Below are 16,977 nucleotides of genomic sequence, written 5' to 3'. Positions count from 1 at the left end.
CTCCACTTCCCGGGTTCACACCATTCTTCTGCCTTAGCCTCCTGAGTAGCTGGGACTACAAGCGCTCGCCACCATGCCCGGCTAATTTTTTGTATTTTTAGTAGACACACTAACCTTTAGTGATTTACTCTATTTAGCAAATATTTAATGCACTTCAACAAGCAGGTTCCTTGGGCTTTGACCTTCAAAGAAATGCAAGACACTCATCTTATGTAATTTAAAAGAGCTTTACTTGGTATACAATCTCCATACAATTCAGTAAAACAAATTATAAAAGCTCTTTGCAAGATTTTACCCAAAGGGTGTTAAAACAGAAAATCAATTGCCACAAGAAAGTAAGACACCCTCTCATCTCAAAAGCTTTTTTCCATGAACAAACATTCTCTTAGGCCAAAAGGTTGCCATGTTTAAAGTATCTGGGAGCATATTAACCAAGATATAGGATCTGAGAATACTTAATTGATTTTGAGATTTGAATTAAATTTTAAAAATCAAATATTTTGTATGTTAATTCAGGTAGGTTTTGGCCAAAGATGAACTCAAATTTTTACATCTTAGACAAAATCAATATGGAATCAGAATAGACATTTTTACTTTTAGTTAACTGTGAAATAAAGATGCAGATCAGATGTATTTACATATGCCTTTGCCACCTGGCAGCACCCAACCAAAACCACACACCCACAGAAACACACACACACACACACACTCCTGTCACGCTGATCTCACAAGGGTCGGGAAAATCATCATTAACAGGATGATAAATGGCCTGGGTAACATCTAACTATGCTCCTGGCTAATATATTCGAAATGAATCCCTATTTTTCAAATGCCTGTAATGAAAGTGATTAGAACCTTCCAACTAAATTAGAATCTCTAATAACTATTGTGATCAGTATCAGTAGTTGGTCATTTAATAAAGTAAGTAGGTTAAAGTAGGGAATCATAACCTAAACTGTGTAATATACATTCGTTTGCCGATCTTCTGATATAAAGACACGGATTTTCCTTTGCCTAAGGGTCCAATGACTACAGTTCTACTTCTCACATAAATCACACCAATAACATGATTTGGGTCCCTTCTTCTCAGTTTAGAGGTTTTAAAGGTGGGATGAGTACTTAAATAAATCTATGAAGCAATCTAAGCTCAGAAATTTTCTTGATTTGTATATTTTCCCCAATATCTTATAATATTCCCAGCCACACCTAATTTAAAAGCAACTTTTATTGGCAACTCAGCCTTTATCACTTTTTACCAAAGTATTCAACTTAATTTTTACAGAAAATTCTTTCTTTTCACACCCGTATTTTCTGTGTGTATGTGAATACTTAACTGAGTTGTGTACTTATAAGAGGAAGCAGAACTTGCATGGAGGAGTTTGGGACGGGTGCACAACTCCAGGGAGGGAGCCGGAGCGCTGAGAACACCAGAGAACAGCCTCCAGCTGTGCTGTGGCAGGTGGCTTACGAGAGAGATGGAGACTCCGGGGCCTGGGAGTCACACAGGCAGAGTCCGTTAAGAGCACTTCTATTGTACTTAGAGGGTCTTCTGACTGCTAACTCAGAAGCAAAATCAAGTGGGTTTTCTGTCAATAGAAAACAGAGCCATTCTTTGAGGTTATCACCACCCAGGTCTGAGTGGCGGGGAGCTGCTGCCGCGGGTCTCTTGCTTCGGCCTGGTAGAGAGGCTGTAAGCCAGAGCTAGAAGTCAGATGCTCTTCTTTGCTTTCCTTCTGTGTACTCCAATGAGAAGGTCACATTGGAGAATACTGATGAGTGCTAAAAATATTTATTAATAACATGATTCGTTGAGAGATTTGGTCATCAGGAAATAGCTACTGTACATGGTCACAGTGTCTTGGAAAGAGTGTTAAGTATGGATTCTGTCTTGCAAGATTTTTTTGGCACTTTATATTTTTCACTGAAGACTGAGCACTAAAGGTGCTGGCAACAATGACACCTAAACTATGAAAAAAAAAATCACTGTTTGCCATCATTGCGGTGATAAGCATAAAAATTTAAGTACGTGTTTCTTGTATATTAAGACTCCAAATGCCCAAATGCTTAGATGAATACATACAGGAATATTTAAAATAAATTTAAATATAGCCATAACAGAGGATTTTGAAAACAAAATCACAGAGTCTAACATATTGTACCTTACGTGTGCTTGGTTTCAATTAGAGTAAGGCACTCGCTGAAGGATGTACTGACCCATGCTGTCAGCTACAACAGGCATGCATCATTATTGGCTTAATTAAAGTTTTAGTACTGATTAAAACGTTTTATTATTGTATTATCCTAAACGGCAGTGGTCTCCAATCTTATTAAGGGATACAGAAAAGATATAATTCAGGAGTTTCAGTTGCATAATTTAATAACCCAGCTACTGTCAATTTTTTATTTAAACAAGTTTTGATAAAAGCTGAGTCTGCTTGTGTCCAACATGACAGTGTAAAAGACTTTTTGAATGCTGCTTTATAAGTAGCAACTGAATATAAAATCATTTGAAAATGTGATGCAGCCATCTTGATGCCTATGGTAATTTACTTCAATACAACTGCAAGGAGAAATGCTTAAATCATTTCCACCTGGCAAGAACAGGGGAGAAAGTTAATTCCATTAGCCATCTTGATTTAATTAAATGCATACTATGTTCTTACTGGCAACTTTTACATGTCCTCATCATTAGAAATTAATTATATAAGCGATTATCAAAAAAATTTTGAGCAGGTACATATACTCTTCTTTGTTGTTTACAAATAAGCATGACTTAGAGGCACTTGGTTACCTTTTAATAAGGAAAAGAATTACACTACCAGGGCCTTCCCAGTAAGATTGGAGACCACAAGTCAAACTTGGTATGAAAATGCTGTCTGAAAATGCTGTCTGCTAAAAATACTGTATTAGTGAACTAGTTAAGATAGAACATTTAAAAAATATTCAGACTTTGCAAGATTCTAGGCTGTAAAAAATACAAAGGCTAAAAACACAAAAAGTTTACAAAATTTTGCAAACCCAATAAATTGAAATGAGTAAGAAATAAAGCAAAACTATTACTGCAGGAGAGGTTAAAGAGTATCAGTAAGTTTTAAAATAATAACACTAAAATGTAATAAATTCTACTTGGCTACATATATTTCTGCCCCTTTAAGGACTTACGATATGGAACTTGTAACACTTTTCTGTGCCCAGCATTAAAACACATGTGTGCACATGCACACACACAGACACACACAATACATGACACATACTGCTGAAGTACTCCACATTACATTTCAGACAGAGTGTAACAAAATGTTTGATACAAAGCCTTAACATGATTTTTTTTGTTAATGTTGACAGCATGACAACTGGAAAATATTATAACATTTTAAGGTAAAACAGGACACTAAAGTGCTTTTTAAAAAGCTACCAATTGGTCTTCACCAGTGAAATCATATTAAATAAGTCGATCATCATCTCTAGTTGATTCAATCATAGCTGTCTTAAGTCACCTGAAAATTAAACGTATTTCAAATCCTGAGCAGGTGCTCATCTTCCAACATGTTATGTGCCTATCCAGGTATCCATGGAACACACATCATTCTCTCCAACAACATAATTCTAGGTCACTCTTAGAAAGTTGTTAACATTTAGGCTAAAGAACATTAATGAGAAAGATAGACACACAACGAAAAAGACTTCTGCTTGTAGAAGATGCTTTCAAAGATGGCAACACTTGTGTAAACATCTGTAGAACTTACTCATATCACAGCTTGAAGGTTTGGGCTACCTACTTACATAGGAAACGTCATCTATTGAGTTTCATCATGATGCAGTTTCTCCGTATCAAAAATAGACACTGGGCAGAAATCTGCGCTACTTGTTTCTGGACAGCTTGTAAACGTGGAAGGTTTTGTTCTGGAACACTCTGGTGAAGTAGGCCACGTAGGGAGGCAGGTTTCTTTTGATCTCTTCACAGAAGCGAGGGTGGTCTGCAGGTTTCAAATCAGGATCATTCTCTCCTGGGCCATCCATCATCTAAAACCAAAACAAACCCAAATACAATTTGGGGGGAAAATTCTATTTACAAAAGACAGTAGGAGCAGGAATGGGTATTGGGTTTAAGAATGGTATGTGAGTGAAATTAAATTATATTATTTCAATGTCCATGGGCACCTGGAGATCATCAGGGCCATCCTTTTCCCCCTTCAGAAGTGCAGACCAAGGCTGAGAAGGAGAGTGCAGCGTCACACGATGATCCCATTAACGGGAAAGCCAGAACTAGAACTCAGGTCTGCTTGCTCTCAGGAACATACTATACTGTCTCTCTCATAGAAATGAAATACAGAGAACTACAGTGATCAGAGAAAGCTCTCTAACTCATCAGAAAAAGTCACATTTAGGCCAGGCGTGGTGGCTCATGCCTGAAATCCCAGCACTTTGGGAGGCTGAGGCAGGAGGATCGCTTGGATCAGGAGTCTGAGACTCATCTGGGCAACATAGCCAGACTCCATCTTTACAAAAAATAAACAAAATTAGCTGGGTATGGTGATGTATGCCTGTGGTCCCAGCTACTTGGGAGGCTGAAGTGGGAGGATCACTTGAGCCTGGAAGGTTGAGGCTGCAGTAAGCCAAGATCACGCCACTGCATTCCAGTCTGAGTGACAGAGTGAGACCCTGTCTCTAAAAATAAATAAATAAATAAATAAATAACTGAAAAAGTCACGCTCAAATCAAAATTTAAATGGATGTCTCTGGTCTGTACCACCTCTGAACTCAAGACAGTTATGAACTATGATTCTCCTCGGGCAAAAATCTGAATCTCAAATTCTGTACAGTCAAGATTTTTTTTTTTCAAATTTAGGCTAGGTTTGTCACTTTGTCCAACTTGTTTACAAATATCTATTGGCTTTCATACCATTAATTACAGCACACATCACACCTCTAAAGGGTGAAAATCTGTTTGCTCTACTGAGACCTGGCATAGCTCCAAGAACACTTTCCTCAGAAGGGAGAAGGGAGAAGCGGCTTGCTGCTTTTCTGCTCTGGAGTGCAACTTAGCCTCTGAAAGCCGGCCTGTGGAAACACACCAGTGGACACAGGACACTCAGTAGGAGAGGGCAGGAGGGGTAGGGGGAATCCACCACCTAGACCGGAGGGCAGGAGGGCCCCACCATCCCTGCCATGCAGCAGCTAGCCAATACGAAGCGTTGGAGCAGTGGGTTTAAAGGCTGAGGTTTTGTTTATAGCAGCAAAATCCTTCACAGATACATTTTATGCAGAGCCCCATCATACAAATGAGCTGAAGGCAGAGCTGCTCTGTTTGGTGTGACACTGGGGACCCAGGGCTCCCCTCTCACCTCTCCCTTGCCCAGCCCCGGTGGCAGTCACTAAAGTGCCAAGAGAGGGCTTCTGTAGGAAGCAAGAGAAAAAGCAAATACTTGATTCGTAGCGTAATTCAACTAGACATTAAGGATAAAAAGATTCACATTCTTAGGATTCAAATCAGAGTCCCGCCCCTCCAGGAGACCCCCACACAGGGAGAGGCAGCATGCTCACGTGGCCGTTGGCAATGTCCAGCAGGTCCCGGAGTCGGCAGCCCCGGCGGTGCCTCCGCTCGTAGCAGATGCTGTCTTCCAGGATTACGTAGTCAGTGCCGAAGGACCTTAGGAGGGCATGCACTTCCTCTGGTGCCCTCTTGGCATATATCTGATAAACCTTCAAAAAGACATAAAAATGCAATGTGGCAAATGCTACTTGACTGCCAGGGAGTTAACTATGTGATGTAACCTTCCACAGGGCTGAGTCTAAGACCTAACACCCAAGGTGCTCTCTCCAGCCCAGGCCACGCTGCACTCGCTCATTTGCAGGCCTGGAGTGTGTGCGTGGAAGTTCCCAGAACGCTGTGAGTGCTCGGCCTTGGGAAGAGAGTGAGCCAGGAAGAACACATCTGGATTCAGAATGTATTACTTCAAGTCAGGACTATATTCATCAGTAGGCACCAATTCTAAGACTGCTTTCCCAAGGTAAATGACAGGGCTGAGTAAATAAGACACAGTCTCTACCTTTAAAAAGGGGACCCCCAGACTAAAATGGCCCATTAAGGGTGATGGGACAGTCTGAGGGACACACGTCCCAATAAGGCAGAGCCCCAGCTTCTGAAACTGGTAGGTGGGGAGAAGGATCCCTGTAGGGTCTCTGCTCCTAGGCTGGGGCAGCATTGGCTGCTTTACCTGCTACTCCGCATCTCAGCTAATTGAGAGACCCCACTGCTCCTCTCCCTCTCGTCCATCCTAGGGGTGAGAGCCACTTGCAGCACACCGTGGGCAACGCCACAGGAGGCCCCCTTCACGTTCATACCAGTGCCACACACCCTCAGTGGATGGATGCAAACTGAGCGTCCCAGATTCTGGGGCTGGAATGGAAACAGGCTGTGTGAGGTGTTGAATGTGGGGGTTCATGAAGAGAGGCACTGCCTCCTTTGTTGCACCCTGATTTCGAGTGCTAGATTTCTGATTTGGGCTTGAGGGTCTAACTTGATGTGTCCACATGGATGGGTGAAATGGTAGGGAGGTAGGATGCTGTTACTGTGACAACTGTGTTGTCCTACAGTCCAGCACAAGGTCTCAGGCTGAAGGCATTCCAAGGGTTCCAGGGTCCTGATGAAGAGCCGTAGGGCCTTGAGGATGTCAGTGTGTGGGGCCTAACCCTAGTACTGAGACAGGAAAGGAGATGCCCAGGACGTTCTGTGCACTCGACCTGTCTTTTCTGCAGTCTCCAGTCCAAGCAGTAGAGGCCACCCCTGATGAACCTGGTGCCTGGAAAGCCAGGGAGCCCCTTTCCTGCATCCTCCTAGTTAATTTGGAACTATCTGGAACACTTCAGCCCATCAAAAAATTCCTATTTTAGCAGGAGTCTGAATTCAAATGATTCTTATACAAGACAGGAGATTAGTAAAAATCATCTGCTTTTAGGCTAGTCAAATCTCACCTCAAAACAAGACTTTTTCAACAACTTTTCAACCGCCAACATGAAAAAAGTGACATTAGGAAACATTTATGAGTTTGAAACCTGACTGGTGAGGATGAAGGAACACAGGCACCTTCCTGCACTGCTGACTTGAATGTAAACAGATACAACCTGTAGAGAGAGGACTTGATAACATCTCTCGATCTACACTACAGATGTCAACAACCCTGACCCAGCACTTCCCCATCCAAGAATCTGCTGTACAGACAGACACCGTGCCTGGAAAGAGTGATGTGCAGACAAGTTTATCTGCAGCATTGTTCATATAATCACAAAAGACAGGGAAACAGCAGAAATGGCTAAATAAAATATGCCACATCCATGTAAAATATTAAGCAGCTTTAAAAATAGGAAGGAAGCTGTTAATATACTGAATATAGAATGTTTTCCAAAACACATTAAATGCCGAAGAAGCAGAATGTAGAATGCCACTTCTTCTGTAAAAATGGAGAAAGGGGCACCACCCTCCCCGCATATTTGTATATGCGTGAAATACCTGTGGAAGGAGACACAAGAAACTGCTAACATTATCTGCCTCCTAGGAGGGGAACTAAGAACTGCAATAATGGGAGAGGCACTTTTCACCATATTTCCTTTTGTATGTTCTGAATTTTGAACTATGAGACTGTATTATTATCTATTAAAAAACAAAAACCCCAGACTTCAGAAAGGTCCATAAGAAACGTGACCAGTATGCCTCAACGCCTTTTCCTTCCCCTCCCTAATCCAAAAGCTTTGCTCCCAAATGCGCTCTTCTGCACATCTCAAGGCGTGTGTCTTCTCGGTTCTTCCCTGGGGAGGACCTGTGGCCTAACCTCACGTCCTTAGTGGATATGGGCAGGCAGAGGTCCCGACCTGGGGAGGACCTGTGGTCTAATGGCACGTCCTTAGTGGATATGGGCAGGCAGAGGTCCTGGACCAGGAGATGCGAGCCCTGTGCACTTACGTTCTGATTTCCCCTCTGATATGGTTTGGCTGTGTCCCCACCCAAATCACATCTTGAAGTCCCACATGATGTGGTAGGGACCTGGTGGGAGGTAACTGAATCATGGGGGCAAGTCTTTCCCGTGCTGTTCTCGTGGTAGTGAATACATCTCATGAGATCTGATGGTTTTATAAGGGGGAGTTTCCCTGCACAAGCTCTCTTTTTGCTTGCTGCCACCCATGTATGACATGACTTGCTCTTCCTTGCCTTCTGCCATGATTGTGAGGCCTCCCCAGCCATGTGGAACTGTAAGTCAATTAAACCTCTCTTTCTTCTGTAAATTGCCCAGTGTCAGGTATGCCTTTATCAGTAGCGTGAAAACAGACTAATTCATCCTCCTAACCTAATGCTGGAGGGTGCAGCATTCAGCCCCATCTTTACCACACATAGGGACACGCAGCCCATAGCTGGCCCACAAGAAGCGAGGGGAGGCACTGGGGAGCCTCACCGCTCTGGTCCGCTCTCTCAGGCTGCTGTCTTCATAGTGCGGGTGGTTGGTTAGGGTCCTTCCCGTGCACAGCTTGACTCCGGCCAGCAACTGCATGCTTCCCGCAAACACAGCCTTTCTTGGAGTGTTAGAGCTGAAAGATTTTAGAGTCTGAATTAACCCCACTGTTAAGAGATCCTTAAAGACAACAAAGAAGACAATATCAAACTTTTTCAGAAGAATCCAGCTATGTTACCAAGTGTTACGAGTCAGGGAAAAAAAACGGGAGTTTGCTTCGGTTTTGATTTGTACTCAAACTATTGAGTGCAAAAGTAATTGCGGTTTTTGCCATTACTTTCAATGGCAAAAACCTCAGTTACTTTTGCACCAGCCCCATGTTTTTTACAACAATGTTTTGTATGATTTTGACTGTTCACCAGAATAACGGTGGGGAAACTTCTTACTGTTTTGCTAGGTTTACTTTTATAAGGAATTGTCTTAGAAGGCAGGCAGTGTAGCTCTTGAGTCCAGGCTTCTAGGCCAAGACCCACAATCCTCTCCTGCTATTGTTCCAGAGGGGCAGAGTCTAACAAAAATAACCTAAAAGACTGCCACTGCTTTGCGTATTGAACTTAACAAAAGAGCTACCTAGAGCAACATGTAACAAATCATCAAGCCAGAAACTGCAGGTGATCATGAGTCAGTTCCAAGGGTTTTTGCTTAAAAAAGCAATAAGGAAAAAAATCACAGATACCACCATAAATAAAAACAGAATTAACAACAACAACAACAACAAAACATGGAAACAAGATTCTGAAATAGCCAATATCTTATTACTTAATATGGGGGATACACAAATACTTCTGATGTGAAAACGCAATTATTTTACATATACCTTTGGTCCTGATTATGAGAAACTATATGCAGTTTAAGGAACACGGGGCACCCTAATACTAAGGCACAAACTCACTTTCCAGTTCCCACCACGCTACGATTTTCTGTCTTCCAGGGGTGTGAGGGGCAGGGACTAGGGACCAAGAAAAGACTCCCAGAATATAGGAAAAGCATTTTTCCTTTTTCCTCCCTGGAAAAAAGGAATCTTAGTAGCTGATTTAATTCCTTTCCTCTTTTTTTTTTTTTTTTTTTTGGAAACCTGAGAGTCACTTGTAAGCGGTCAAGGAGTTAATTTCTCAGGAGGCCCTAAGAGCTCTCTTCTGGGGATTCTCCTGAGTGCAGAATTTCCCACAGAGGCCCACTGAGGACACTGCGGGCTGCGTTTATCCTTCTTGCATTGAGAGGAGTCTGTGCCTGCTGGACTGAACTAAAATGAGGAAGATGGTTATGAGGAGTTTATTTAAAATCATTAAAATTCAACATCCTCTGCAGAAAAAGCCATGGCAGGCTGTTCTCCATGGTTTTGGAGCAGGGCACGCAACTAGCTCTGGTGCTGCGGTTTCTAAGAGAAGCCTCATCACATTCATACATCCCACCAGGATGTTTTATTTATTCCAACTCAGCGCTAAGACTCCAGCGTGAATGCCATCCAACAGAGGCCTTGGATGTCTACAAGCAAGACATCCCACAATTCAAGTTGTGACATTTACAAATAGTTTACTTTTGAAAAATTCAAGATTTTCTTTCTAACAATGACACTCTCATTCACTTGCATTCCAATAAGCGTTCTTAAGTGAGGAAAAAAAGTGGCTGGAATGACAATGAGCATACATAATGACACATAATATGCATCCCCTCTCCCATGCCAGAGTCTAGAATGCAGATTCCAGCAGGAAAAAAGTTTCACATGAGCTTGGCTGCACTTGAGAGCTTGTCATTCTGACAGACCCAGGAACAAGAACAAATAGATGTTAGCTCTGTTCCCCGTATCAACAATTTACAGGGACTCTCTCACATTCTGTCCCACATGGTCAGAGGAATAAGAGGGTTTCAATGAAAACGTGAAGGTGCACAGAATTCCTTAGTGAAAGGTTTTACTGAAATTCAGTTTAATTCAACTGACACTTACTAAACACTTACTCTGGGCCTTGTGTACTGTGCTACCCTTACCTAGAGTGTAATTGCTAAAGGAAACAAGTATGAACAAATATTAGTTTTTTAAAGTGCCACCATTTTTCCAAGCCAGGCTTCTTTCCTTTGAATACTCTCAACTGGCATGAGCCATTCCACAGCAATCAACGATACGATAACTTGACACACCCATGCCAAAAAGTGGCTGTCTTTGGTCCTCTGAACTAGACAGATTTAGGATGCAGAGAGAACATGATGAGTCTGGTTTCCACGCCTGGCAGAGCAGGAGGTGGAGGCGAGAGCTATCAGAGGCGAATGATCCTGGTTTGTAGTCTCACTGCCTGAACAGTGCCAAGCTGGCCTTCTACACAAAAGACGAACCCGGCAGCTGAGCTTCCAACATCCATTCCAATCACAAGACTATCTCACCATCACCGTTTTGAATGTATAATAGGAATCTCTGTGCAGCTTCAGCACCAAGAAGATGCACAAAGCTATAGTAGCATGCAGTTTATAATTACAGCAGAGATGACAGGCCTTGTTATCCAGCCACAGCTAATGATTAAGGTTTCAGCCTGCCTCCTGGACTATAATCATAGCCCTTGGATGAATTACAGAGTTCACAAAGGCTTAAATGCCCAAAGTCCTAAACTGCCCTCTAGGGAGTTATAACGTTCTTTATTCAAAAAATATTGCTGAGGGTCTATTACGTGCTGGGCTGGCAAACATGGTATGACAACCTGTCTTCAAGAAGCTTACTTAGACCAGGTGTGGTGGCTCATGTCTGTAATCCCAGCACTTTGGACGGCCAGGTGGGGAGATCACTTGAGGTCAGGAGCCTGAGACCAGCCTGGCCAATATGGTGAAACCTGTCTCTACTAAAAATACAAAACTTAGCCAGGCGTGGTGGTGGGTGCCTGTAATGCCAGCTACTCAGGAGGCTGAGGAGGGAGAATCACTTGAACCCGGGAGGCATAAGTTGCAGTGAGCCAAGATCGTGCCACTGCACTCCAGCCTGGGCAACAGAGCAAAACTCCAACTCAAAAAAAAAGAAAAAAGCTTACTTAACAGCTCCCATTACAGACAAACACTTCAAAATAACCCAGTGCTGTAGTGAGCCTAGTGTATCACGTATTTACTAATGCTTACTGCAAGCCTTCAGCTAAGCTGGAAATGAAACAGCAGTCACTGAAGATGCTCTCTCCTCAGCAGGCTCTAAGAGCTCTTGAGTGGCTCCCATCCCCGGCCCCTAGCAGGTGCAGCCCCAAGGCAGCAGCAGGGCCATCACCAGCAGAGCGAGTGACACATGGCTGCTCAGGGGAATGAAAGAAAAAATGGAATGAAGCTCATTAAGTTGTGACTGTCTTAATGTCTGGCCTTATTAGCAAAAAGTCAGAAAGTTTAAAAGAAGTGTAATCTATTTAATGTGTTAGTGCCACAATCATCTGGATTGTTAACATACTCTTTCACTGAGGACTTGGCTTTATTTTAAAGCAGTAAAATACATATATCCTCATGCCTATAAGATGAATTAAAAATAATACTTCTGGCTGGGTGCAGTGGCTCACGCCTGTAATCTCAACACTTTGGGAGGCTGAGGTGGGTAGATTGCTTGAGGTCAGGAGTTCGAGACCAGCCTGGCCAACATGGTGAAACTCCATCTCTACCAAAAATACACAAATTAGCCAGGTGTGGTGGCGCCTGCCTGTAGTCCCACTACCTGGGAGGCTGAGGCAGGAGAATCGCTTGAACCCACGAGGTGAAGGTTGCAGTGAGCCGAGATCACGCCACTGCACTACAGCCTGGGCGACAGAGATTCCATCTCAAAAAATAAATAAAATAAAACCAAAAATAACACTTATTTGAAAATGACTGACTTCTGAGGACAGTAGGGATGATGCTTCTTCCCTCCATGCCATGTGGCTTTGTCTCATACGCCAGCTCCGTGGTAAACCTGGGAAATATCACTGCTACTTCCAATACTTCACTCTACCCGTAAGGCAAATGCCAAAGGAAAAGCTACAAGCAAAGTGGAACAAAATGAGAAACAAACAATCACACATTTCTAAACTTAAAAAGATACTTATATTCACTGTCCTTTCTATTTTGTGGTAAATTTAGCAGGCAAAGGGAGAAGGGATCCGTTGTCCTTAGCTGAAAACATGCACAGTGATGGACATAATGCTGGGTGCTCTTCCTTCACAGACACTCTTGCCTGATACAGTCTGTGGTCTGTATCTAAAATAGCTAATGTGCTTTTAACCACTGAATGACATTTCTCTATTATAGAAAAACAAAGCAATTTTTACAAATGTTTGAACAAATGATGTATAAAATGAAAGGATAATTTGTTTTTATAGCTCTCTGCCAAGCTCCATAGCAGGCTGCCCAACCTGCACACAATTTGTTCTGTAAGAAATGTCACTAAATAATGACAAGGACTCACAGGTCAAATGGATTTACATTATATAATTTAAATGTCATTCCAGGAAGACCTGATGGCATTTTGAACAAATAATCTCATTTATTTTTGAAGCTCTAAGCTTCAACAAGTTAATTGCTGTTGAACTAATGGGGAAACTGAGCATTATAATATAATGTGTGAACATTTGCTTTATCTACACTTCAAAAATTTATAGAATTATGCAAATACTACAAAATGATTCATTAAATAGAAAAGAGGCTTATAGGCATTTAAGGTCTGAACTTAGCCTACATCATATTTAAAATATACACGAACTTTCTGCTTTGGTTAAATGTGAAAGAAAGTTGGTCCATTTTTTCAGACCCATTGAGAAAATACTGCACACACGGGTTTCATTACTGGAAAGAGACTATTTCCAGTGAAAATCTCCTAAAGTGAAGTAGCTAAAATGTCATCCCTCAAAATATGCAAATATATAGATATGCCTATCTTATTTGCAAAATGTCAGAAGAAAATTTTCAGGAACGAAAAATGAAACATTCAAGGACACAAAGGAACAAGGTAGAAACCACAGATTGTGGTTGCATTCAGCCTTGCTGAGGTAAACGTGCTTTCTAATTGCACAGAAAACCTTTAAAACTACCGCCTGACTTTTGCTGAAAGAGACACCAGAAGGCAAAAAAAAAAAAAAAAATCCAAGTTTTTAATCTTTGTATCCAGGAAACCTTATCAGCAGAGAAGGGTAAATATGAATATATGCATTTAATTCTGCTTGAAAACAAGGCATGCAATGCATCGGTGTAGCGTGGAGAGCAGCAGGCAGGTGAATGCACAAAGGCTGGGGTGTGGAAGGCTGGACATGCCTCCCAGCTCTTAGGGAAGGCGGCTGGGGCTACCGCAGCCTGGGGCCCTGACTTTAACAACATGTCAAATGTCACACCATCCTTGTAAAAAAGAGCAACTTAATCCCTAAACACTGTTGGTTTCATACTGAAGCTTCAATCTCTACTCCTTTTAGGAGCTAAAGATAGGAAAGCATAAAACATTTTCTATTACTAAAAATTAGAATTCTAAAAAAAACTTTCCCACTGAACTTGCTAAGCCACTGAAGATCTTAAAATGGAGTCGAGGGTGAGAATTCGGGAGAAAAGAATGAGGGCAATTGTGCTGAGGCGAGGCCCAGCGGTTACTCCAGTGAAAGGCAGCTGCAGTGGAGCGCCACCTGCATCCACACACTTCACACGGTGCCCATACACAGCTGGGGCTCGATGAACATCTGCTGAACTATATTAATAAGTGCACAACTTCAGATGTGAAATAACTTTATAAATTAGTTAAGGCTTTAAGAGTCTTCACAGGAATCCAATCCCTTGGGTATGACCCTTCTCATGTTAAGTGTCACCCTCAGGTAAGGCCCTTTATTTTCCCTTGAGGATATCTCTTCAGCCTATAAAAAAGAAAAGAACCAACTCCCACTGAGGCAACCACATCTTTCAATTTACCCTTAAAGCAGAGAAGCCCTCTGAGAATACTTGGAAAGCCTGAATCTCCAAGCGGAAGCCCTGTGTCCAGGAGCACAACGTAATGCCTCATGTGGGGTGTGGCTTACTCCAGCAGCAAGGACACGGGGCGGGACACTTCCAGGTGTGTGAGTGATGAAGAGGATGGATAAGCTTCTTTTCAACACGTCACGTAAGGGGTGCCCTGTGCCAAAATGGAGGGTCACTTGAGGTGTCCCCAGGGTTTCCACAGGCCACTATTTCTCTAGTTGTGATTCATCCCAAGGACAGCCATCCCTCCCCTAATGGAGGCTGTGCCCCTGTCCGATAGATGCCGTGATGATTGCATGGGCAGAAGACAGACATTTGAGTGTGTCTGCTTTGACTGTCTGGGAACAGGGCAGACAGGAAGACAGGCTGGGGAGGACAGAGGCAGCCCTCAGGGACAGTGCTGGTTCTCTGCCAGGCGTCTTGGGACTCTTTCAGACACAGCCCATGCGTCTGAAAGAGTCCTTAGGCCGCAGCCTTTTCTCCAGCACAACTCATACTTGCTAATAACATGGATACCGTGTGACTAATCAAAGCAGTGAGGTGAAACTTGAAGGTCATATTTTACGTTTCAAAAACAGAAGAAATCAGGGCAGATTAAAAGAATATTAAGGCAGTCACTTGAGTTTGGAATCCACACCTACAGGCCAGTGTGGATTTGAGTGTTGATTTAAACAAACATATTTGATGTCTACATAGACCCTATTTTGGCATACATTCATCACCACTTATGCTTATTTTGCAAACATACCAAGCAGCTAGTTTTACAAAAATATTATTTAGATTTGAAGAATTTTAGGGGAAAAAGCTGAGACTAGATCACAATAGAACAAATTTTTTGGAACAAGGCAAATCCTTCAGTTGCTGAGAATTACAAAAAAAAAAAAAAAAAAAAAAGCCAAAGGAATATGTCTACTACAAAAGCACTACAGGGAGACGAGCTGTTAGCAAAAGGAGGGTCTGAGGAGTGAACATCACCTCCCAAACGAGGGAAATAGGACACTTGTATTCTCTTCTTTACACCTGGAATCATCTCTCATCCAGTTTTTCAGAGCCAGAAATGTTATTTTAATTTTCTGTGGGGAAAAGCATAAAAATAAAGGCACTACAAATAAATATATCTAGTCTGAGACTGCCGAAGATAACCTGGGGCTCTGCTAGAATACATTTTTAATGACTTTATAATTAATTCCTGAAAGACTGGGGTGTTTATGGTGCTAATCTAAGGAGATCCGGAAGACCCACCACCTTCAGCATGCTACCAGAAAGCAGGGGTCCTCAGCATTGATTTCAACAGCATAGTCCTGAAAACAGAAAATATCAGCCTCAACTTCAGATGTACGTCATAAATTTCCAGCTGACTATAGTTAATGCAAAAGTAATTAGCTTTCCTTTACACGAATAACTCTCTTTCCTTGTACATAATAAATACTGAAGGAATTATTTACTCTGTAATCGTCTGGCATGATTTAAAATTAAATAAAGACAAAGCAACGCTTAGTGCTCTCAGCACCAGAAATATGTGAAAAATTATACTCACTGCATCTAGTCAAACCCAGTCCGACATTAGGACCAAAGCCATGTGTATGTTTTAGACAAATCTCTATGAGATCCATGCGTTGCCCTAGGGAGGCCTCAGCTGTCAAGCACTGACCATCTCTGCAGACACGCAGGGCTGACCTGTACTGGTGAGTAAGCATTAGCCATGGGACGCAGACAATCCAGCCAATGCTTTCAGAAGGCACCACATGTGATGCACAGCCTCTATTTACATGTGAATAATTACACTGCTGCTTTCTGGTTAAAAGTAGGGAAATACAGTGTTCCAGGGCATAGGAATGGTGCTCTGGGTAGAAAAGTTTATTTTTGCTGGTGGGAGGCAGGTTTTGTTAATAAAGCTTTGAAATACACAAATTTCATTCTGATGCTGAATGCTGAGGCAAAACAACAAAGTGCCGGCAGAAATAAGAGCCAATAGGACACTAAAGCATTATGATATTCAAGACGGAAAGTTCCAGGTTTTGTATCTAAAATTTTCTCTGGTCCTAGGCTTTGGCAATATGATGAGTTAACATGAAATCCGCACTGAGCTGTCATGAGCCTCTACTTAACTGGAGTTTACAGTATAATTTAAAAAACAAGGAAAGAATATTTTTTCTTTTTTCTTTCTTTTTTTTTTTTTTTAGAGAGAGTCTTGCTCTGTCGCCCAGGATGAAGTGTAGTAGCGCGATCTTGACTCACTGCAACCTCTACCTCCCGAGTTCAAGTGATTTTCCTGCCTCAGCCTCCTGAGTAGCTAGGAGGCACCTGCCACCATGCCTGGCTAATTTTTGTATTTTTAGTAGAGACAGACGGGGTTTCATCATGTTGGCCAGGCTAGTCTTGAACTCCTGACCTCGGGTGATCAGCCCACCTCAGCCTCCCAAAGTGCTGGGATTACAGGCGTGAGCCATTGAGCCCGGCCAGAAAGAATACTTTCAAGTGTCACCATTAGTGGAAAATCAGAATGGTATTAAAATGAAAATAATAAACATAAAATTGGCAGAGACATCAA

General features: G+C 42.3%; 1 protein-coding gene across 10 annotated transcripts in view; it reads right to left on the bottom strand.

Moving 5' to 3' along the window:
- Positions 1 to 211: 211 nt before the first annotated feature.
- Positions 212 to 16,977, bottom strand: part of DPY19L3 (dpy-19 like C-mannosyltransferase 3) — an 80,121-nt gene continuing 63,355 nt past the window's right edge. For 8 of the 10 annotated variants that reach the window (NM_001172774.2, XM_047438247.1, NM_207325.3 and 5 more), the window contains 3 exons: positions 8,448 to 8,580; positions 5,545 to 5,703; positions 212 to 4,023 (listed from right to left, as the gene is read on the bottom strand). In NM_001172774.2, the coding sequence (NP_001166245.1) occupies positions 3,862 to 4,023; positions 5,545 to 5,703; positions 8,448 to 8,580 (454 nt within the window). In that variant the 3' untranslated portion in view covers positions 212 to 3,861. Of the gene's footprint in view, positions 4,024 to 5,544; positions 5,704 to 8,447; positions 8,581 to 12,328; positions 15,728 to 16,977 lie in introns of those variants that run through there. The other 2 variants (XR_007066627.1, XM_047438252.1) reach the window with 2 other exon arrangements.

Source organism: Homo sapiens, chromosome 19, assembly GCF_000001405.40.
Source record: "Homo sapiens chromosome 19, GRCh38.p14 Primary Assembly".
NCBI classification, from domain to species: Eukaryota; Metazoa; Chordata; class Mammalia; order Primates; family Hominidae; genus Homo; species Homo sapiens.
This window is presented reverse-complemented; position numbering and strand designations above follow the sequence as displayed.